At 40.9% G+C, this 24,920-nt stretch overlaps 1 protein-coding gene across 12 annotated transcripts in view; it reads left to right on the top strand.

Annotated features, from left to right (window-relative positions):
* The window catches only part of EXOC6B (exocyst complex component 6B), a 650,050-nt gene that overhangs the window by 379,567 nt on the left and 245,563 nt on the right, over positions 1-24,920 (top strand). The window contains exons 19-20 of one of the 12 annotated variants that reach the window (XM_011532711.4): positions 7,639-7,701; positions 19,856-22,615. The exons of the other annotated variants lie outside the window; for them this stretch is intronic. Of the exons in view, the coding sequence (XP_011531013.1) occupies positions 7,639-7,680 (42 nt within the window). The 3' untranslated portion in view covers positions 7,681-7,701; positions 19,856-22,615. Of the gene's footprint in view, positions 1-7,638; positions 7,702-19,855; positions 22,616-24,920 lie in introns of those variants that run through there. 12 annotated transcript variants of the gene reach the window in all.

The raw sequence follows: 24,920 nt of genomic DNA, 5'->3' as shown, positions 1-24,920 counted from the left end.
AAGACATGATATTCTTTTTTAATGCCTGCATAGTATTCTATGGTGTATATATACCACCTTTTCTTTCTTTTCATTTTTTTTTTTTTTGAGACAGAGTATTGCTCTTGTTGCCCAGTCTGCAGTGCAGTGGCATGATCTTGGCTCACCGCGGCCTCCACCTCCTGGGTTCAAGTGATTCTCCTGCCTCAGCCTCCCATACATTTTCTTTATCCAGTCTGTCATTGATGTGCATTTAGGTTGATTTAATGTTTTTTCTATAGTGAATGGACATTTGCATGCATGTGTCTTTATGGCAAAATGATTTATATTCCCCTGGTTATATACCTAGTAATGGGATTATTGGATCAAATGGTAGTTCTGCTTTTGGCTTTTTGAGAAATTGCCATACTGCTTTCCACAATAGTTGAACTAATTTACACTCCCCAAAACAGTGTATAAGCGTTCCCTTTCCTCTGAAACCTCACCAGCCTCTGTTATTTTTGTTTACTTTTTAATAATAGTCATTCTGACTGGTGTGAGATAGTATCTCCTTGCGATTTTGATTTGTATTTCTCTAATGATCAGTAATATTGAACTTTTTTACATATGCTTGTTGGCCACATGTGTGTCTTTTAAAAAGTGTGTGTTCATGTCCTTTGCTCACTTCTTAATGGGGTTGTGATATGGTTTGGCTGTGTCCCCACCCAAATCTCATCTTGAATTCCCATGTGTTGTGGGAGGGACCCAGTGGGAGGTAATTGGAACATGGGGACAGGTCTTTCCCATGCTGTTCTTGTGATAGTGAATAAGTCTCATGAGATCTGATGGTTATAAAAAGGGGAGTTTAGCCGTACAAGCTCTCTCTCTCTTTGCCTGCCACTATCCACATATGACTTGTTCTTCCTTTCACCATGATTGTGAGGCCTCCCCAGCCATGTGGAACTGTATGTCCATTAAATCTCTTTCTTTTGTAAATTCTCTAGTCTCGGGTATGTCTTTATCAGGAGTGTGAAAAAAGACCAATACAGTAAATTTGTACCAGTAGAGTGGGGCCCTGCTGCATTCCAAAAATGTGGAAGCAACTTTGGAACTGGTTAATGGGCAGAGGTTGGAACAGTTTGATGGCCCAGAAGTCAGGAAAATGTGGGAAAGTTTGGAACTGCCTAGAGACTTGTTGAATGGCTTTGATCAAAAGCCTGATAGCAATATGGACAATAAGGTTCAGGCTGAGGTGGTCTCAAATGGAGATGAGGAACTTGTTGGGAACTGGAGCAATGGTCACTCTTGTTATGTTTTAGCAAAGAGACTGGTGGCATTTTACCCCTGCCCTAGAGATTTGTGGAACTTTGAACTTCAGAGAGATGATTTAGGGTATCTGGTTGAAGAAATTTCAAAGCAAAGCATTGAAGAAGTGACTTGGATGCTGTTAAAAGCATTCCATTTTAAAAGGGATACAGAGCATGAAAGTTTGGAAAATTTGCAACCTGACAATGCAATAGAATAGGAAATCCCATTTTCTGAGAAGAAATTCAAGCCAGCTGCAGAAATTTGCATTAGAAATGAGGATCCCTATGTTAATCCCCAAGACAATGGGAAAAATGTCTCCAGGGTATGTCAGAGGTTTTCATGGCAGCCCCTCCCATCATGGGCCTGGAGGCCTAGGAAGAGAAAATGGTTTCATGTGCTGGGCCCAAGGTCCCTGTGCTGTGGTGAAGTCTAAGGACTTGGTGCCCTGCATCCCAGCCACTCCAGCCATGAATAAAACTGGCCAAGCTACAGCTCAGGCCCTGGCTTTGGAGGGTGCAAGCCCCATGTCTTGACAGTTTCTATGTGGTGTTTAGGCTGCAGTTGCACAGAAGTCAATAATTGAGGTTTGGGAACTTCTGCCTAGATATCAGAGGATGTATAGAAATGCCTGGATATCCAGGCAGAAGTTTGCTGCAGGGGCAGAACTCTCATGGAGAACCTCTGCTAGGGCAGTGCAGAAGGGAAATGTGGGTTGGGAGTCCCCACACAGAGTCCCTACTGGGGCATCACCTAGTGGAGCTGTGAGAGGAGGGCCATCATCCTCCAGACCCCAGAATGGTAGATCCACCTATAGCTTGCACTGTGCAGCTGGAAAAGCCACAAGACACTCAATATCAGCCCGTGAGAGCAGCTGGGTGGGACACTGTACTCTGCAAAGCCACAGGGGCAGAGCTGCCTAAGATAATGGGAATCCTCTCTTACATCAGCATGACCTGGATGTGAGACATGGAGTCAAAGGAGATCATTTTCGAGCTTTAAGATTTGACTGCCCTGCTGGATTTCGACTTGCATGGGGCCTGTAGCCCCTTTGTTTTGGCCAGTTTCTCCCACTTGGAATGGCTGTATTTACCCAATGCCTATACCCCCATTGTATCTAGGAAATAACTAACTTGCTTTTGATTTTACAGGATCATAGGTGGAAGGGACTTGCCTTGTCTCAATTGAGACTTTGGACTGTGGACTCTTGAGTTAATGCTGAAATGAGTTAAGACTTTGGGGGACTGTTGGGAAGGCAGGGTTGGTTTTGAAGTGTGAGGATATGAGATTTGGGAGGGCCTATGGGCAGAATGATATGGTTTGGCTGTGTCCCCACCCAACTCTCATCTTGAATTATAGCTCCTGTAATTCCCACATGTCGTGGGAGGGACCCAGTAGGAGGTAACTGAATCATGGGGGCAGATCTTTCCCACACTGTTCTCGTGGTAATGAATAAGTCTCATGAGATATGATGTTTTTAAAAAGGGGAGTTCCCCTGCACATATTCTCTCTTGTCTGCCGGTATGTAAGACATGCCTTTCGCCTTCTGCCATGATTGTGAGGGCTCCCCAGCCATGTGGAACTGGAAGTCTATTAAACCTCTTTTTATTTATAAATTATCCAGTCTTAGGTATGTTTTTATCAGCAGCATGAAAATGAACTAATACATGTTGTAAGAAAGGGGTCCAGCTTCAGTCTTCTGCATATGGCTAGCCAGTTATCCCAGCATCATTTATTGAATAGGAAGCCCTTTCCCCATTGCTTGCTTTTGTCAGCTTTGTCAAAGATCAGATGGTTGTACATGTATGGTCTTATTTCTGGGTTCTCTGTTCTGTTTCATTTTTCTAAGTGTCTTTTCTTTCTTTCTTTTTTTTTTTTTTTTTGACAGAATCTCGCTCTGTCACCCAGGCTGGAGTGCAGTGGCGCGATCTTGGCTCACTGCAACCTGTGCCTCCCAGATTCAAGTGATTCTTCTGCCTCAGCCTCCTGAGTAGCTGGAACTACAGGTGCGCCACCACGCCTGGCTAATTTTTGTATTTTTAGTAGAGATGGGGTTTCATCATATTGGCCAGGCTGGTCTCGAACTCCTGACCTAGTGACCCACCCACCTCAGCCTCCCAAAGTGCTGGGATTACAGGCGTGAGGCACCGCGCCCTGCCTATGTGTCTTTTCTTGTATCTATATCATGCTGTTTTGGTTATTGTAGCCGTGTAGTATAGTTTGAAGTTGGTAGCATGATGCTGCCAGCTTTGTTCTTTTTGCTTAGGATTGCCTTGGCTATTCAGGCTCTTTTTTGGTTCATAATGAATTTTTACATAGTTTTTTCTAGTTCTGTGAAGAATGTCAATGGCAGTTTAATGGGAATAGCATTGAATTTATGAATTTCTTTGGGCAGTATGGCCATTTTAACAATATTGATTCTTCCCTTCCATGAACATGGACTTTTTAAAAATGTATTTGTGTTCTCTGATTTCTTTGAGCAGTGGTTTGTAATTTTCCTTGCAGAGATCTTTTACCTCCCTACTTAGCTGTATTCCTAGGTATTTTATTCTTTTTGTTTCAACTGTGAATGGGACTGCATTCCTGATTTGGCTTCAGCTTGGCTGTTGTTGGTGTATAGAAATGCTAGTGATTTTTATACATTGATTTTGTATCCTGAAACTTTGCTGAAGTTGTTTATCAGCTTAAGAAGCTTTCAGGTTGAGACAATGTGGTTTTCTAGATATAGAATCTAGAAACCACAGGGATAGTTTGCAGACTATTTCAATGCCCTTTATTTCTTTCTCTTGCCTGATTTCCTTGGCCAGAACTTCCATTACCATGTTGAATATGAGTCTTGAGAGAGGGCATCCTTGTCTTGTGCCATTTTTTGCGGGGGGGAATGTGTTCAGCTTTTTCCCATTTAGTGTGATGTTGGCTGTGAGTTTGTCGTACATGGGTCTTATTATTTTGAGGTATCTTCCTTCAATACCTAGTTTATTGAGAGTTTTTAACATGAATGGATGTTGAATTTTCTGATAAACCTTTTTTGCACCTATTGAGATAATCATGTGGTTTTTCTCTTTAGTTCTGTTTATGTGATGAATCATATTTATTGATTTGCATATGTTGAACCAACCTTGAGTCCTGGGAATTAAGCCTACTTGATCATGGTGCATAAGCTTTTTGATGCGCTGCTCGATTTGATTTGCAGTATTTTGTTGAGGATTTTTGCATCAATGTTCATCAATGATATTGGCCTGAAGTTTTCTTTTTTTGTTTTATCTCTGCCAGGTTTTGCTATCAGGATGAGGCTGGCCTCATAGATTGCATTAGGGAGGAGTCTTTCCTTTTCAGTTTTTGGAATAGTTTCAGTAGGAATGGTACATGCTCTTCTTTGTACATCTGGTAGAATTCAGCTGTGAATCTGTCTGGTCCTGGGCTTTTCTTTTTGTTGGGCGGGGGGTGGTTGGTAAGTGGTAGTACTCAATTTCAGTACTCATTATTGGTCTGTTCAGGGATTCAGTTTCTTCCTGGTTTAGTCTTGTGAGGGTGTATGTGTCCAGAAACTTATCGATTAGTTCTAGATATTCTAGTTGATATGCATAGAGGTGTTTATAATATTCTCTGATGGTTATTTGTATTTCTGCGGGTTTAGTGGTAATATCCTCCTTATTGTTTCTGATTGTGTTTATTTGAATCTTCTCTCTTTTCTTCTTTATTATTCTAGTTAAAGGTTTATCTATTGTATTTTTTTTTCAAAAAAAGTTTCTTTATTTGTTGATCTTTTGAATGGTTTTTTGGTTCTCTATCTCTTTCAGTTCAGCTCTGATTTTGTTTTTTCCTTGTCTTCTGCTAGCTTTGGGATTTGTTTGCTCTTGGTTCTCTAGTTCTTTTAGTTGTGATGTTAGATTTTTAAATTGAGATCTTTGTAACTTTTTGATATGGGTATTTAATGCTATAAATTTCCCACCTAACACTGCCTTAGCCATGTCCCAGAGCTTCTGGTGTGTTGTATTTTTATAGTTAGTTCTTCTTATTGAATAGAAATAAGAGAAATAAGATCTTTTTCAGACAAGCAAAGGCTGAGGGAATTTGTTACCACCTTATCTGCCTTACAAGAGCTCCTGATGGAAGCACTAAATATGGAAAGACCGTTACCAGCCACTACAAAACACACTGAAGTACATAGACCAGTTACACTATAATGCAACCACATAAACAAGTCTGCAAAATAACCAGATGATAAAGGGTGAAAATATACTCTTTACCATTGTGTAATGCCCATCTTTGTCTTTTTTTTTTAATCTTTGTTGTTTTAAAGTCTGTTTTGTCAGAAAGTAGGATAGCAATCCCTGCTCTTTTCTGGTTTTCATTTGCTTCGTAGATTTTCCTCCATCCCTTTATTTTGAGCCTATGTGTGACACTGCATGTAAGATGGGTCTCTTGAAGACACCATACCAATAAGTCTTAGTCTTTTATCCAGCTTGCCACTCTGTGTCTTTTATTTAGGGCATTTAGCCTATTTACATTTAAGGTTAGTATTGATAATGTGTTGATTTGATCCTGTCCTCATGATGTTAGCTGGTTATTTGCAGACTTGTTTATGTGGTTGCTTTATAGTGTACCTGGTCTGTGTACTTCAGTGTATTTTGCAGTGGCTGGTAATGTTCTTTCCTTTCCATATTTAGTGCTTCCTTCAGGAGCTCTTGCAAGGCAGGTCTGGTGATAATGAATTCCCTCAGCATTTGCTAGTCTGAAAAGGGTCTTATTTCTCCTTCACTTAGTTTGGCCAGATATGAAATTTTGAGTTGTCTTTAAGAATGTTGAATATTGGCCCCCCAGCCTCTTCTGGCTTGTAGGGTTTCCAATGAGAGTTTCACTGTTAGTCTGATGGGCTTCCCTCTATAGGTGACCTGGCCTTTATTTCTCACTGTCCTTAACATTTTTTCTTTTTCATTACGACCCTGGAGAACCAAAGCCAACTGGGCACAGAAATGGACCCCAGCACAGCACAATTCCTCTATGAAAGTATTTCCAGACTGCTTATTTTAGCAGGTCCCCAATCCTATTTCTGCTGACTAGGTGAGACCTCCCAACAGTGTCTTCAGTCGCCTCCTACAGGTGCGTTTGGGCTGGCCACAGGTCCATACCTCCCTGGTACAGAGCTCTCAGAGGAAGGGGAAGACTGCTATCTTTGCGTTTCTCAGCCTTCACTGCTGATACCTCCAGGTACCCAAAAATTCGAGGTGCCTAGGGACTAGAGCAAATGAACCCCCAGCAAACCACAGCAGCCATATGGAGAAGTGGCCAATTTGTATAAAAAAAAATATCCAAAGGTCAGCAATCTGAAGGATTGAAGGTGGATAAGCCCACAAAGATGAGAAAGAATCAGTGCAAGACACTGAAAGCTCAAAAAGCCAGAGTACCCTCTTTCTTCCAAATGACTGTATCACCTCTCCAGCAAGGGTTCAGAACTGGGCTGAGGCTGAGATGGCTGAAATGACACAAGTAGAATTCAGAATTTGGATAAAAACGAACTTCACTGAGCTAAAGGAGTACCTTGAAACCAAATGCAAGGCAGCTAAATATCATGATAAAACATTGCAGGAGCGAACAGACAAAATTGCCAGTATAGAGAAGAATGCAACCAACCTGACAGAGCTGAAAAACACACCATAAGAATTTCATAATGCAGTCACAAGTATTAATAACAGAATAGATCAGGCAGATTAAAGAATCTCAGAGCTTAAAGACTGTCTCTCTGAAATAAGTCAGGCAGACAAGCACAGAGAAGAAAGAATGAAAAGGAATGAAGAAAATCTCCAAAAAGCATGGGAATCTACAATTGATTTGTGTACCTGAAAGTGCTGAGGAGAATGGAACCAATATGGAAAACGTATTTCAGGGTATCTTCCATGAGCACTTTCCCCACCTCGATAGACAGGGCAGCATTCAAATTCAGTAAATTCAGAGAACCCTAGTTAAATATCCCCAAGATGCATAATTTTACTTTTTTCTTTAAAAAACCTTACATATCAATAGAATATACTAACTGTTCTATGTTGCTTTACAAATAATTATTCTTTAAGAATCCTGTGAGATTGGCAGAATTGTTTTATTCATTTTGCAAATGAAGATCATTCACACAGAATTAAGTAAGATACCCAAGGTAACAGCTTCTAAGCAGCAGAGGTAGGATTTTTCTGCCTTTAGTTCTTGAGTAATAGCATCAGAAAACTTTTCTGGAATTAACTTACTATTTCCTAATAGTTTATTAATAGCTGTTTTTCAAGACAGCATAGTGTAAGTTAAGTAAAATTAGGCTTTAGTAAATATTTTAAAAGAAAATTCTAGCCTAGCCAATTTCTCTGATATTTGCATATCTTCCTTCAGACACCCTATAGCAAGACTCTCAAGCAGGACCTGAGGTGTTAATGAAAAAAGAGTGCATTAAAAGTGAGTTGAAGTTTAAGATGTTAAATTTTATGTTACATTTATTTTACCATAATAATGAAGGTGATTTCAAAAAGAGTAAGGAAAAGAAAACATGAAATATACTGGTCTATATGAATGTTTCTCTCTCTCTGTTTTTTTTCTCGAGAGATAGTGTTCTCACTGTGTCACCCAGTCTGAAGTGCAGTATTGACTGCAGTGGCACAATCACAGATTGCTGCAACCTCAAACTGCTGGACTTAAGTGATCCTCCCACCTCAGCTTCCTGAGTAACTAGGTCTACAGGCACATGCCACGACAGTTAACTAATTTTTAAATTTTCTGTAGAGATGGGGTCTCTCTATGTTGCACAGGCTGGTCTCAAACTCCTGTCCTCAAGTGATCCTACTACCTCGGTTTCCCAGAGCACTGGGATGATGTGTGAGCCACTATGCCCAGCCAACTTTTTTTTTTTTTTTCCACAAAGATTGATAGCTACAGGCTCAAGCTTCAGAATCATCACATTTTTCTTTCTGGTGTTTTTCTGATTGAGTTTTAATATATCTTCATAGCCTACCATCCTAGGTAAATTGGTGTAATACAATTCTAATTTAATTGTTTCCTTTGCATTGTTTAGTCTGTTTTATTATCACGTGTACAGCTTTAGAATAACATGAGCTCCTAGAATTTCAAGTTCACTGCTTTCAATTTAGTTCAATAAACATTTATTGAGTACCTAATGTGTACTCAATGATCTAACCACATGGTGAGGTTATAAAAATGAGATTGCTTCTCTGGGGAAGAATATAGTGACATGATTTGAAGTATTGCAAATTTAATCACATAAATTGCATTAGTAGTCCAGCTGTCCTAAAAATGTTCTTTAGGAATAATTCACCACTGAAATAAATTAATAATTTTAATATATTGCTAAATAGATTTACTCTAGGTTTAATTATTTGCTGTCATTAAAGACCTATGTAAGAGCACAATCTGATACAATTTTTGTTCTTATATGCATATTAGATAAGAGCAAATTGTTAATTCAGTGTTCATATGAGAGGAGTTAACATGCAGCAAAATTTATTGAAAAAGCTAGTTATCAAAATAATTGTTTAAAATTTAGCTGGGAACCCACCACAGCTCAGCAAAGCCACTGTAGCCAGACTACCTCTCTTGATTCCTCTTCTCTGGGCAGGGCGTCTCTGAAAGAAAGGCAGCAGCCCCAGTCAGGGGCTTATAGATAAAACTCCCATCTCCCTGGGACAGAGCACCTGGGGGAAGGGGCGGCTGTGGGCACACCTTCAGCAGACTTAAATATTCCTGCCTGCCAGCTCTGAAGAGAGCAGTGGATCTCCCAGTACAGCACTCAAGTTCTGCTACGGAACAGACTGCCTCCTCAAGTGGGTCCCTGACCCCCATGCCTTCTGACTGGGAGACACCTCCCAGCAGGGGTTGACAGGCACCTCATACAGGAGAGCTCTGGCTAGCATTGGGCAGGTGCCCCTCTGGGACAAAGCTTCCAACAGAAGGAGCAGGCAGCAGTCTTTGCTGTTCTGCAGCCTCTGCTGGTGATACCCAGGCAAACAGGGTCTGGAGGGGACCTCTAGCAAACTCCAGCAGACTTGCAGTAGAGGGGCCTGACTGTTAGAAGGAAAACTAACAAAGAAAAAGTGATAACATGAACAAAAAGGACACCCACAGAAAAACCCCATGCAAAGGTCATCAGCATCAAAGATAAAAGATAGATAAATCCACGGAGATGAGGAAAAACTAACGCAAAAATGCTGAAAATTCCAAAATCAGAATGCCTCTTCTCCTCCAAAGGAACACAGTTCCTCATAAGCAAGAGAACAAAACTGGATGGAGAATGAGTTTGATGAATTGACAGAAGTAGGCTTCAGAAGATGGGTAATAACAAACTCCTCTGAGCTAAAGGAGCATGATCTAACCCAATGAAAGGAAGCTAAGAACCTTGATAAAAGGTTACAGGAACTGCTAACTAGAATAACCAGTTTAGAAAAGAACATAAGGGACCTGATGGAGCTGAAAAACACAGCACGAGAACTTTGTGAAGCATACACAAGAATCATTAGCCGAATTGATCAAGCAGGAGAAAGGATATCAGAGACTGAAGATCAACTTAATGAAATAAAGCATGAAGACAAGATTAGAGAAAAAAAGAATGAAAAGGAATGAACAAAGTCTCCAAGAAATACAGGACAATGTGAAAAGACCAAATCTATGATTGATTGATGTACCTAAAAGGGACAGCGAGAATGGAACCAAGTTGGAAAACACACTTCAGGATATTATCCAGGAGAACTTCCCCAACCTAGCAAGACAGGCCAGCATTCAAATTCAGGAAATACAGAGAACACCACAAAGATAGTCTTTGAGAAGAGTAACCCCGAGACACATAATCATCAGATTCACCAATGTTGAAATGAAGGAAAAAATGTTAAGGGCAGACAGAGAGAAAGGTCAGGTTACCCACAAAGAGAAGCCCATCAGACTAACAGCAGATCTCTCTGCAGAAACCCTACAATCCAGAAGAGAGTGGGGGCCAATATTCAACATTTTTAAAGAAAAGAATTTTCAATCCAGAATTTCATATCCAGCCAAACTAAACTTCTTAAGTGAAGGAGAAATAAAATCCTTTAAAGATAAGCAAATGCTGAGGGATTTTGTCACTACCAGACCAGCCTTACAAGAGCTCCTGAAGGAAGCTCTAAATATAGAAAGGAAAAAGCGGTATCAGCCACTGCAAAAACATATCAAAATGTAAAGACCATTGACACTCTGAAGAAACTGCATCAACTAATGTGCAAAATAACCAGCTAACATCATAATGACAGGATCAAATTCACACATAACAATATTAACCTTAAATGTAAATGGGCTAAATGCCCCAATTAAAAGACACAGACTGGCAAATTGGATAAAGAGTCAAGACCATCTGTGTGCTGTATTCAGGAGATCCATCTCACGTGCAAAGACAAACATAGGCTGAAAATAAATGGATGGAGGAATATTTACCAAGCAAATGGAAAGCAAAAAAAAAACAAAAAAAAAGCAGGGGATGCAATCCTAGTCTCCGATAAAACAGAATTTAAACCAACAAAGATCAAAAAAGACAAAGAAGGGGATCAATGTAACAAGAAGAGCCAACTATCCTAAATATATATTCACCCAATACAGGAGCACCCAGATTCATAAAGCAAGTTCTTAAAGACCTACAAGAAGACTTAGAGTCCCACACAATAATAGTGGGAGACTTTAACACCCCACTGTAACTATTAGACAGATCAACAAGACAGAAAATTAACAAGGATATCCAGGACTTGAACTTAGCTCTGGACCGAGCAGACCTAATAGACATCTACAGAACTCTCCACCTCAAATCAACAGAATATACACTCTTCTCAGCACCACATAGGACTTACTCAAAATTGACCATACATTTGGAAGTAAAACACTGCTCAGCAAATTCAAAAGAATGGAAATCATAACAAACAGTCTCTCCGACCATAGCACAATCAAATTAGAACTCAGGATTAAGAAACTCACTCAAAACAACACAACTGCATGGAAACTGAACAACCTGCTCCTGAAAGACTACTGGGTAAATAACAAAATTAAGGCAGAAATAAATAAGTTCTTTGAAACCAATGAGAACAAAGACACAACGTACCAGAATCTCTGGGACACAGCCAAAGCAGTGTGTAGAGGAAAATTTATAGCACGAAATGCCCAACAGAAAAAGCAGGAAAGATCTAAAATGGACACCCTAACATCACAATTAAAAGAACTAGAGAAGTAAGAGCAAACACATTCAAAAGCTAGCAGAAGACAACAAATAACTAAGATCAGAGCAGAACTGAAGGAGATAGAGACATGAAAAACCCTTCAAAAAATCAGTGAATCCAAGAGCTGGTTTTTTGAAAAGATTAACAAAATAGATAAACTGCTAGCCAGACTAATAAAGAAGAAAAGAGAGAAGAATCAAATAGACACAATAAAAAATGATAAAGGGGATATAACCCCCAATCTCACAGAAATACAAACTACCATCAGGGAATACTATAAACACCTCTACGCAAATAAACTAGAAAATCTAGAAGAAACGGATAAATTCCTGGACAAATACAACCTCCCAAGACTAAACCAGGAAGAAGTTGAATCTCTTAATAGACCAATAACAAATTCTGAAATTGAAGCAGTAATTAATAGCCTACCACCCAAAAAAAGTCCAGGACCAGACGGATTCACAGCCAAATTCTACTAGAAGTACAAAAAGGAACTGGTATCATTCCTTCTGAAACTATTCCAACCAATAGTAAAAGAGGGACTCCTCCCTAACTCATTTTATGAGGCTAACATCATCCTGATATGATGACCTGGTAGAGACACAATAAAAAAAGAAAATTTCAGGTCAATATCCTTGATGAACATCGATGCAAAAAATCCTCAATAAAATACTGGCAAACCAAATCCAGCAGCCCATCAAAAAGCTTATCCACCATGATCAAGTTGGGTTCATCCCTGGGATGCAACGCTGGTTCAATATATGCAAATCAACAAATGTAATTCATCATATAAACAAAAGCAATGACAAAAGCCACATGATTATCTCAATGGATGCAGAAAAGGCCTTCGATAAAATTCAGCACCCCTTCATGCTAAAAACACTCAATAAGCTAGGTGTTGATGGAACATATCTCAAAATAATAAGAGCTATTTATGACAAACCCACAGCCAATATCATACCAAACGGGCAAAAGCGGGAAGCATTCCCTTTGAAAACCGGCACAAGACAAGGTTGCCCTCTCTCACCATTCCTATTCAGCATAGTATTGGAAGTTCTCGCCAGGGCAATCAGGCAGGAGAAAGAAATAAAGGGTATTCAAATAGGAAGAGAGGAAGTCAGATTGTCTTTGTTTGCAGATGTCATGATTGTATATTTAGAAAACCCCATCGTCTCAGCCCAAAAACTCAAGCTGTTAAGCAACTTCAACAAAGTCTCAGGATACAAAATCAATGTGCAAAAATCACAAGCATTCCTATACACCAATAATAGACAAACAGAGAGCCACATCATGAGTGAGCTCCGATTCACAATTGCTACAAAGAGAATAAAATACCTAGGAATCCAACTTACAAGGGATGTGAAGGACCTCTTCAAGGAGAACTACAAACCACTGCTCAAGGAAATAAGAGAGGACACAAACAAATGGAAACACATTCCATGCTTATGGATAAGAATATTCAGTATCATAAAAATGGCCATACTGTCCCAAGTAATTTATACATTGAATGCTACTCCCATCAAGCTACCACTGACTTTCTTCAAAGAATTAGAAAAAACTACTTTAAATTTCATGTGGAACCAAGAAAGAGCCCATGTAGCCAAGACAATATAAACAAAAAGAACAAAGCTGGAGGCATCACACTACCTGACTTTAAAGTATACTGCAAGCTACAGTAACCAAAATAGCATGGCACTGGTACCTAAACAGATATAAGACCAATGGAACAGAAGAGAGGCCTCAGAAATAACACCACACATCTACAACCATCTGTTCTGTGACAAACCTGACAAAAACAAGCAATGGGGAAAGGATTCCCTATTTAATAAATGATGTTGGGAAAACTGGCTAGCCATGTGCAGAAAACTGATACTGGACCCCTTCCTTACACCTTATACAAAAGTTAACTCAAAATGGATTAAAGACTTAAATGTAAGACATAAATCATAAAAACTGTAGAAGAAAACCTAGGCAGTACCATTCAGCACATAGGCATGGGCAAAGACTTTATGACTAAAACACCAAAAGCAATTGCAACGAAAGCCAAAATTGACAAATGGGATCTAATTAAGCTAAAGAGCTTCTGCACAGCAAAAGAAACTAACATCAGAGTGAACAGGCAGCCTACAGAATGGGAGAAAATTTTTGCAATTTATCCGTCTGACAAAGGGCTAATATCCAGAATCTACCAAATTTACAAGAAAAAAAACAACCCCATCAAAATGTGGGTGAAGGATATGAACAGACACTTCTCAAAAGAAGACACTTATGCCTCCAAGAAACATGAAAAAAGGCTCATCATCACTGGTCATCAGAGAAATGCAAATGAAAACCACAATGAGATACTATCTCATGCCAGTTAGAATGGGGATCATTAAGAAGTCAGGAAACAACAGATGCTAGAGAGGATGTGGAGAAATAGGAATGCTTTTACACTCCTGGTGGGAGTGTAAATTAGTTCAGCCATTGTGGAAGACAGTGTGGTGATTCCTCAAGGATCTAGAACTAGAAATACCATTTGACACAGCAATGCCATTACTGGGTATATACCCAAAGGACTATAAATCATTCTACCATAAAGACACATGTACATGTATGTTTATTGCAGCACTATTCACAATAGCAAAGACTTGGAACCAACCTGAATGCCCATCAGTGATAGACTGGATAAAGAAAATGTGGCTTGGGAGGCTGAGGTGGGTGGATCACCTGAGGTCAGGAGTTCGAGACCAGCTTGACCAACATGGTGAAACTGCGTCTCTACTAAATACAAAAAATTAGCCAGATATGGTGGTGTGTGCCTGTAGTCCCAGCTACTTGGGAGGCTGAGGCAGGGGAATCGCTTGAACCTGGGAGACGGAGGTTGCAGTGAGCTGAGATTGTGCCGTTGCACTCCAGCCTGGGAAAAAAGATTGAAACTGTCTCAGAAAAAAAAAGAAAAAAGAAAAAAAAGAAAATGTGGCACATATACACCATGTAATACTATGCAGCTATAAAAAGGGATGAGTCATGTCCTTTGTAGGGACATGGTGAAGTGGGAAACCGTCATTCTCAGCAGACTAACACAGGAACAGAAAACCAAACATTGTATATTCTCACTCATAAGTGGGAGTATAACAGTGAGAACACATAGACACAGGTAGGGGGTCATCACACACCAGGGCTCGTTGGGGTGTGGGAGGCTAGGGGAGGGGTAGCATTAGGACAAATACCTAATGTAGATGAAGTGTTGATGGGTGCAGCAAACCACCATGGCACATATATACCTGTGTAACAAACCTGTACATTCTGCATATGTATCCCAGAACTGAAAGTAGAATAATAATAATAAAAAAATTTAGTTGGATGTGGTGGCTCACTCCTGTAATTTGAGCTATCTGGGAGGCTTACTTGAGGCCAGGCATTCCACACCAGTCTGGGCAACACAGAGAGACCTGGTCTTAGATAGATAGATAGATAGATAGATAGATAGATAGATAGATAGATAGATAGATAAAGAAATCAAGCCAGTCATGGTGGCACATAGTAGTACTCCCAGCTCTCCAGGCGGCTGACACAGGAAGATTGCTTTAGCCCAAGAGTTCAAAGCTGCAGTGAGCTGTGATTGTGCCACTGCATCCACCTGGAGGACAATAGACTGAGACCCCATCTCTAAAAAAATAAAAATAATTAAAATTCATCATAAAATTGTCAGTGAATCTTATTTGAAGCCAAGTTATGAATTTTCTAAAAGTATATGTCACATGAGAGTTTCTATATTAGGTAAGAGTATTCTACTTAAAATTATAATATTTAAACACTAAGTATTAAACGCTAAAAATTATAATACTTAAAAATGATACTGGGGCCTTAGTGCTCTATGAAATTAAATTAGGCAGAGTGAGCTCTCTGATCTTTTAGTTCCATTATGATTAAAGTAATAATAACATGCAACCCCCAACAAGGTAGCTTTTTAGCATCCCCATTTATCAGTGGAGGAACTTAGGACCTTTATGGTTATGCACTCAGTCTGTGTTTCCATAGCCATGAATTGGTTAGCCCAAAAACCAATCTCAAGTCTCTGGCTATGGAATTTGTTCCCTTTAGTGCATAATATGTTATGTTTCTCATTGGCAGGATTGGCAGTGTCAGCAGCTCAGTTTGTTTGAATAGCTTAACCAAAATAGTGACATTTAGGAATTCTTCTGCCCATTTATTTTCCTTTAATCAAGGTTATTTATTTCTTTCAGTGGACTTTGGTTGCTAGTGAAATGATATCTTAAGTGAGATAAAATTTAGTTCCTTCTCTGATATGAATTTTTAAGATACAAAGGAGTAATTGTTTTTTCTTTTTTGAGATGGATTCTCATTCTGTTGTCCAGGCTGGAGTGTACTGGTGTGGACTCTGCTCATTGAAACCTCTGCCTCCCAGGTTCAATCCATTCTGCTGCTCTAGTCTCCCAAGGAGGTGAGATCACAGGCATGTGCCACCATGCCTGACTAATTTTTGTTTTTTTATTTGTATTTTTAGTAAGACAGGGTTTCACCATGTTGGCCAGGCTGGTCTCAAACTCCTGACCTCAAGTGATCCACCCGCCTTGGCCTCCCAAAGTGCTGGGATTACAGGCATGAGCCACCACACCCAGCCAAATTTTTATAGGTTGTTTTACAGTTACATCTTTTTACTCAGAGTTTATTGTAAGCAGATTTCAAGATTTGTAGGGAGAACCATCTATTCCATCCACATATAGTATTTGGAAGAAAAGACCAACTTTATAGATGAGCAGAAGGTATTGGCTACATCAGTAGTTTTATTTTTCCTGTCTTATAAAACTCTGTAAGTAATAAGATGAAAAGATGTAGTCTTCTCAGATTTCTTGTGTCTTTAGTTGTATGTGGCTTTTAAAGCAATTATATTATTACGTTCTTTCAAAATTTTGTCCTTCAAAATAGTTCTCTTGGAAAGCTATACAGTTTTCCCCTTAGCAATATATTTAGAGCCACTGTATGGATCCTTTTGTTTTGTGATGATAATTTATCATCCCAAACAGTGTCATTTCCCTTAATTATTCCTTCATCCAAGAAATATTTGTTAAATGCCCACAGAATGCAAGAGACTATGCTAAAGCAGTCTCCCATCTTTTTCATCATTCTTGACTCTAATGCAGGGTTCCTCACCCTTGGCACCATTGACATGTTGGGATGGATAATTCTTTGTTGTGGGGGCTGTTCTATGCACTTCAGAATGTTTAGCTGCATTCCTGGCCTCTACATATTCAGTGCCAGTAGTGTTCCCCCTCTCATAACTTGTGACAACCAAAACTGTTTCCAGGCATTGCCCAACATCGCTTGAAGAGAAAAATCATTCCCAGTTGAGAATCACTTTTTGTGTCTGAATTAAAACATTAAAAAATTTCAGATAGTAAATAATTGCTACCACTGAAATTAGTAAAATAATGGTTGTGAAAGCTGTTCTAAAAGGGAATTCCAAAAGTGTTTCAGAGAATGATTATCATTAATGTCTTACCTGCTATGATTATCTAAGATCTGATGTATGTATATATCAAATCGAACCACTTTATGCTCACATTTTGTCATTACTTGTTCTTGGTAAAAGGAGGCCTGTTTGCTTTGATCAGGACTTACTTAATCATCCTGAAATAATCTTCAACTTAAAAAATGTTTCAGTTATCTTTCAATATCTTCATGTTTTTATTTTTCTTTTCTATTTTGGATAGGAATGGCTAACCCAATGGTGAGGTTAGTCCATTGAAAACAATTGGTGCTCATTTGACAAAAAGTGTCCAGGATATTTTTAGGCATCAAATGCAAACATCAGGATATGTGACTCCCATGATGACTTTCAGAAAAGTTTTAGAATATTGACAGGGTCATAGGATCAAATGAAAGGTAAAGATAATTTGTTTGCTTGTGCCTTAAAAGAGCTAAATTAGTGAAATTGTCTTACATCACTTGAAGTTTAACATAAAATTTAAATATTATCACAAATTAAAAAGGTCTATTTGATCTTTCATCTGCTTTCATCTTTTACTTTAAATCATTGGAAACTTATGTGAAAACTGAAATTCTAGGAGTTCTAAGAAAGATGACTGATTGAGCTGATTGCTGTTCTTGAAATGCTCTCTGAAAAGGACGAAAAGAGCCAAGGATAGAGGTGTAAGCTTTAGCCATAAATGAAACAATAGCAGTGACCTTGGCTCCATTCCACTTATTGCAAAGGCTATTTTCTAGATATTGTTGTTATGGGATCTTTGGGGTGTTGCTTTTTTGGCTGGAAACCTCTGGCTGTTGGTGCCTTTGCCCAAGTTTTGCTTGTGCCCGCTTGGCTTTTTCCACCCACTCAGCCTGGTAGGCTGCGCTCTTCTCATGCTACTGATCTGGATCCCATGCCTCCAAGGGAGACTGCAAGTCAAGCGTGGAATTGGGAGGAGTGTATGAGCGAGCATGGGGTCCAGCCACTGTGCAGTCAGACTTGTCTGCTGCTGCCACACGGCAGGCAGCTCCAGGTGCTGGCATGGGTTCCAGCTCTCTGCAAGGCTGCAACTGGACCAGGTGCAAGGCAAGCAGCTTCCCCAGCTGGTACCAGGGAATGTGGTGGCACCCAGAAGCTTGTAGATGCCATGAAACACAGGGCCCCAAAGAGGGAATCACCACCCTGGCTCTGGGAGCTCCCAGGTCTGGGTTCCCCCAAGGGCCACAGCTCTTGTCTCCTTATCTTTGCCTGGAACGTGGCGAACAAGGGGTGTGTTTCAGCCCTGTTTGTGTTACAGCTCTTTTAGCCATGCCATTTGGTGGGTTCTGAGTTCTTGTCCTGTGACCAGGAAGATTGAGGTACACAGACAAGTGATGGGTGACCAAGAGGAAGAGGAGCTTTTCTGAGTGATAGAACAGCTCAGAGGAGATCTACGGGGTACAGCTCATTTCTATAGCCAGGGTGTTCCATGGAGTATTCAGCTTCTAGGAGAGGGTAGCTCCTCTTTGCAGGCAGGACATCCCAACATGTTTCAGCTCCCAACAGAGAGGGTAGCTCCTCTCTTCAGCTGGTTGTCCCATTGTCTGTCCAGCTATGGCTGAGCTCAGAGCTTTTGTGGGCCTCAGGGGAGGAAGTGTGTGCCAATTGGTCCATGGGTGGCCATGGGCAGGACTGGAAAAGGCACTGCAAGTTCCCACTCTGGTCTGTGGGACTGCCAGCCTAGCCCCCAGCCTTCAGTGCCTCCCTGGCCTGAAGGTACAGCCTCACCAGGGTCCCGCCCCCTTCCACCAGGGTGCCCGTCTGCCCCCTGCTGCCGACCATGGCACCCAGGCTGCTCAGGCTGCTCACGCCAAGGGTCACCTGCAAGCCAGTGCTGAGTTCCTCTCAGCACCCCCTCATGTTCCCCACAATGCTTGTTGGTGTTCAAAGTCCAGAGGGGGCCAAGGCAGCAGGGGGCTGGCGTGTCAGTGCTGCTCCCGAACATGTACACACCATGCCAGGCTATGACAGTGCCTGTGCTTAGCCCCAACCCTGCTCCGAGATGGGAGTGGGCACCAGGAGTGGGGAGAGGCCAGGTAATGGGAGCAGACACCCCTGAGGCTGCGGGGGCAGTGGAGGCCTTCCTGGGCCCCTGAGGGTGCAGAGTGCAGAGACACCCAAGTCCTGCGCTTGGGAGGGTGGGGCTCCCGTCTGCTCCATGGAGCATGCTGGCAGCCCTGGCCACATCTTTCAGCCTGGGGTGGGGGCTTGAGGTCCTCACTGGGCCCCTCTCTGTCCACCCCTCTGTGCCCAACCATGCTGTTCCCCTGCCAGCGGGTGGCTCGGCCAGGCCCCACTGCTGTGGCCACGGGGCGGCTGGCTCCAGGGGGGCTCCCACTTGTCCCTGGCTGCTGCGGGCTCTGTGAAGCATCACACTGCCCCAGGCCCAGCTCTGCCAACCCCCTTCTCCCTCTCTGCAGTGGCTGTTGGCAAGAGTGGTGAGCAGAGCCAGGGTCTGGAGTGGCTGAGGCTCCGGGCCTGGGAGCCCATCCCGTCTGGCTGCACGAGGGTGGCAGCAGTGCATTTGGCTGCCTCGGGGACATGGGGCATAGGTGACCCACTGCCGCCATTTCTGCCCCTGCAGCCACTGCTTGCACCTCCTCTCTGCAGCTGGAGTGGTAGCAGCGGCCGCTCCGGATGGCCTGCCACTGCCATCATTGATAATATTTGAACTAAATTAAAGTTAGATGTCAAATGCTGATACATATGTCCCTAAATTCAGAAAGTTCTTACCAGTAACACTTAACTGGGAAATAAGCGCACTGGGGATATGAGTGGCAAATAGCAAATTGGGACTGATAGGAGAGGTGGGGTCTGACAGAGGATCGCTTTGTACTCTCTATTTTTCTTATCCCAGTTCTAGCTTTGCAGCTCATCTTATAGAAGTATGTTTGAAAAAGTGACCTGGTAAGTAGAGAAACTCAAGCACACTAATCATAACAAATAGCAGATATACTTAAACTCCCCTCTTATAATATAAATGTCAACTTCAGACCTGTATATGAGTACTACCAAAAAGAAATAAAATAAATGAAAATACAAAGGCAAATAAGGAAAATATTTTGAAAAAAGAACCATTTGGGGAAATGAAGAACATTTTAAGAAAAATTTTCAACACTCTCAAGGAGATAAAATGATCTTAGGCTTTATGATAAGAGATCAAGGAAGAGATTTAAGAGATCAAGATATAGATAAAAGGATACTAAAGTAAGGTTAGAAAAGTGTTGGCAGATGGGGATGAGCAAAGCTATCAAAAATAATTAAAACCACATTAGACCCAGGAAGATGTAGAGTGAATAATGTAGCAGATGTTCTTAATGAGTTGGAGGAAATACTTCAGAAAAAAATCACACAAAATGTAGTGAGGTAGAAATTAAAAACTACTTGGAAATGTTATTGATATAGAGGGAAGGGCTATCCCTGAAATTAAAATTGCAATCTATAGATTGAGAAGGTTTACTAAATACCAGGAAAACGTAATAAAGACTAAAAGATACACTTTTAAGATTTAAAAAATTTCATAAGCATGACTAGACTAAGAAAAATGTCACATACAATGTTTTTAAAAATCAAGTATTTTTTTCTCTGACTTCAAGTGACACTATAATATCTGTAGAGTATTGAAGAAAAATAGGTGAAAATTTAAAAAGTAAGAAATTATAGCTTTTATGATCTGTCTCTAAAAACTTACATAGAAGGTGAATCAAAAGAAGGAATGCATAAATGGCAAAATTACCATCTAGAAGGATTGGTGATTAACATGTTAAACATAAAATCAGACAGACTAGGAAAAGGGGATGTAATACTGGAATTCTTAAATAAAAGGTAAATAATAATTTGATGATAGTTAACTGAGACAAAAAGTTCAGAAAGAACTGGCAAAATGGAGATTTGGGGAGAGGGGTTGGAGGGAAGGTCATATTAATATGCTGATTGCTTCATCTTTCTGAGGACAGTTTGTTTTTGATGTATATAAATGGAAAAATGTGGCTTAAGCATACTATTGTATTTCATCAATTCTAAGAAACATTTCTGAAATTAGAATATGTCTTCCAATCAGTAATAACATGTAGTTGTAACTGGCACCATATTTTCTTTCAAGATCATTTAAAACTAACAAAGCATCTTATAGTTAATGACACTTGAGAGTATTTTAAATATAATGTTAAATACATAAAGTCATCACTAATAGACCTAAAACCTGACAGTTGTATGTATTTTCTAAATTAATAATTGAGGGGAAGAAGGGGAAATTTCAAAACTAATAAAATCCAGGCCATAAAGCAAAAGATATAAAACAAACAGCAGGTAAGGAGGCAATAGAAAATAAGAGTTAAGAACTCAAAATGTGGAGTCAGAATAACTTGCGTTCAAATTGTGATGCTATGTTCTCACTTATAAGTGGGAGCCAAATGTTGAGAACACATGGACACATAGAGGAGAGCAACATACACTGGGGCCTATAGGAGGGAGGAGGATAGGAGAAGGGAGAGATTCAGGAAAAATAACTAATGGGTCCTAGGCTTAATACCTGGGTGATGAAATAATCTGTACAAGAAACCCCCATGACACATGTTTACCTATGTAACAAACCTGCACATGTACCCCTGAACTTAAAATAAAAGTTAAAAGAAAAATGTGATGCTATCAAATATGAAGATATAGTCAACAAATTATCTGTGTATCAGTAATCCTGATAATTAGATATGTTTCTATTTGATAATTGTTTGATCACAGGAGTAGTCATATTAATAAACTTGAAGAAGTCAAATAGAGCTACAATTAGCGTCATACTTCAAGGAAAATTTATAGCCTCAGTTTTTCCAGTTTTAATCTAGTAAGAATGAAAAACAAATACGTTTTTAAAAAATCAGCAAGAAAAGGAAAGCAACAGGAATTGATAATGAAAACTATTAATCTGTGTTTAAATATCAACTTAATGTATTTAAGAGCTTGTTTTTTGATGATATAAAAGTCATTAGTTGGGGAAATGAAGAAAGCCAAAAATACAGAAAATTATGGATAAAAATTGGGAGATGACTTAAAATACAGAAAAAATTAAAAGAATGCTACAATTTTACACAAGTCTTATATGTACTAAAATTTGAAAATGTGGGTTAAATGAATGACTTCCAGGAAATTTAAAACTGGTTTAAAAGGAGATAGAAAAATCTAATGAAAAAAAAAAGCATAATGGAAAGAATAAAACTGTCAAGGAGCTTATCTACCTCTACCTGTTAATTACATCTTCTGGATGGCTTCACAGATGAATTTTGTGTAAATTATCAAGAATTGTGTAATATTAACTTATGGCATATTAAAACTGTCCCCCAATCATAGAAATAAGAGGGCAAAAATAACAGTAACCTTTATTAGACAACATAATATTGATACAAAACCTGACATAGAAAAGACAAAAACAATTTGCAAGTCAATCTTGCACAATATTGATGAGAATCATCTTAGAAAATGTAGCAAATGCAATTCAACAGTGTATTAAAAGAATATATTCCTTTGCCAAATGAGGCTCATTCCAGGAATGCTGAATTGCTGCAAGAAAATTCTCAGTAATGTGTAATGAAGAAATAAAAATATTACATTTTGAATACCTAAAAAACGTTTGATATTATTGAATATATATAACCCAAAACGGATAAACAGTTTCTTAAAATAAGTGTGTGTGTTCATGTGTGTGTGCATGTGTGTATGTATGTGTGCACGTGTATGTATGTGCATGCACACACACGGGTGCATGCATGTATGTGTGAGTAGATGTTTGTAGGACAAAACAAAGATTGTTTCCTAGTACCACTATTATTTAATATTTTTCACTGGAGGTGGTAGCTAAAGCAGTTATGTAAAAGCATTAAGTTATAAATGTTGGGAAAAGAAGAGATAAAATTATTACTTGCCAATTATATGATCCTATATCTAGAATACCATGAAACTTAACTAGAGAACAATTTGCAACATAAAAACACATTATTTAATAAATTCTTAATTTTTAATTTTCTTATATATGAATCAAAACCCATATATAAAATCTTATATATGAATCAAAATCCCATTCATAGTAGTGTGTCCAGAATTGGTGGGTTCTTGGTCTCACTGACTTCGAGAATGAAGCCACGGACCCTCGCGGTGAGTGTTACAGCTCTTAAGGTGGCGCGTCTGGAGTCTGTCCCTTCTGATGTTCAGATGTGTTCGGAGTTTCTTCCTTCTGGTGGGTTCGTGGTCTCGCTGGCTCAGGAGTGAAGCTGCAGACTTTCGCGGTGAGTGTTACAGCTCTTAAGGCAGTGCGTCTGGAGTTGTTCGTTCCTCCCGGTGGGCTCGTGGTCTCACTGGGCTCAGGAGTGAAGCTGCAGATCTTCGCGGTGAGTGTTACAGCTCATAAAAGCAGCGTGGACCCAAAGAGTGAGCAGTAGCAAGATTTATTGCAAAGAGCGAAAGAATAAAGCTTCCACAGGGTGGAAGGGGACCCGAGCAGGTTGCCAATGCTGGCTCGGGCAGCCTGCTTTTATTCTCTTATCTGGCCCCACCCACATCCTGCTGATTGGTAGAGCCCAGTGGCCTGTTTTGTCAGGGCGCTGATTGGTGCGTTTACAATCCCTGAGCTAGATACAAAGGTTCTCCATGTCCTCATCAGATTAGTTAGATACAGAGTTTGGACACACAGGTTCTCCAAGGCCCCACCATAGCAGCTAGATACAGAGTGTCGATTGGTGCACTCACAAACCTTGAGCTAAACACTGGGTGCTGATTGGTGTGTTTACAATCCCTGAGCTAGACATAAAGGTTCTCCAAGGCCCTACCACAGCAGCTAGATACAGAGTGTCGATTGGTGCACTCACAAACTTTGAGCTACACACAGGGTGCTGATTGGTGTATTTACAATCCCTGAGCTAGACATAAAGGATTTCCAAGGCCCCACCAGAGCAGCTAGATACAGAGTGTCGATTGGTGCACTCACAAATCTTGAGCTAGACACAGGGTGCTGATTGGTGTATTTACAATCCCTGAGCTAGACATAAAGGTTCTCCAAGGCCCCACCAGACCAGCTAGATACAGAGTGTCAATTGGTGCACTCACAAACCTTGAGCTAGACACAGGGTGCTGATTGGGGTGTTTACAATCCATGAGCTAGATAATAAAGACTCTCCAACGTCCCCACCAGACTCAGGAGCCCAGCTGGCTTCCCCTAGTGGATCCCGCACTGGGGCTGCAGGTGGAGCTGTCTGCCAGTCCCGCGCCGGGTGCTTGCATTCCTCAGCCCTTGGGTGGTCGATGGGACTGGGCACCCTGGAGCAGGGGGTGGTGCTCGTTGGGGAGGCTCGGGCCGCACGGGGCCCATGGAGTGGGTGGGAGGCTCAGGCATGGCGGGCTGCAGGTCCCGAGCCCTGCCCCGCGGGAAGGCAGCTAAGGCTCAGTGAGAAATCGAGCGCAGCACCGGTGGGCTGGCACTGCTGGGGGACCCAGTACACCCTCCGCAGCCACTGGCCCGGGTGCTAAGTCCCTCATTGCCTGGAGCCAGCAGGGCTGGCCGGCTGCTCTGAGTGCGGGGCCGCCAAGACCATGCCCACCCGGAACTCCAGCTGGCCCGCAAGCGCTGCACGCAGCCCCGGTTCCCGCTCGCGCCTCTCCCTCCACACCTCGCTGCAAGCTGAGGGAGTGGGCTCCAGCCTTGGCCAGCCCAGAAAGGGGCTCCCACAGTGCAGCGGCGGGCCGAAGGGCTCCTCAAGTGCCGCCAAAGTGGGAGCCCAGGCAGAGGAGGCGCCGAGAGCGAGTGAGGGCTGTGACGACTGCCAGCACGCTGTCACCTCTCAGTAGCAACAAAAATATTAGAACATTTATGAATAAAGTATGTGAATGCTATATTGGGAAATTTCTGAAACTACACAGTGTCATCAAATAATCTTTTCATA

Source organism: Homo sapiens, chromosome 2 (assembly GCF_000001405.40).
Source record: "Homo sapiens chromosome 2, GRCh38.p14 Primary Assembly".
Taxonomy (NCBI): Eukaryota; Metazoa; Chordata; class Mammalia; order Primates; family Hominidae; genus Homo; species Homo sapiens.
This window is presented reverse-complemented; position numbering and strand designations above follow the sequence as displayed.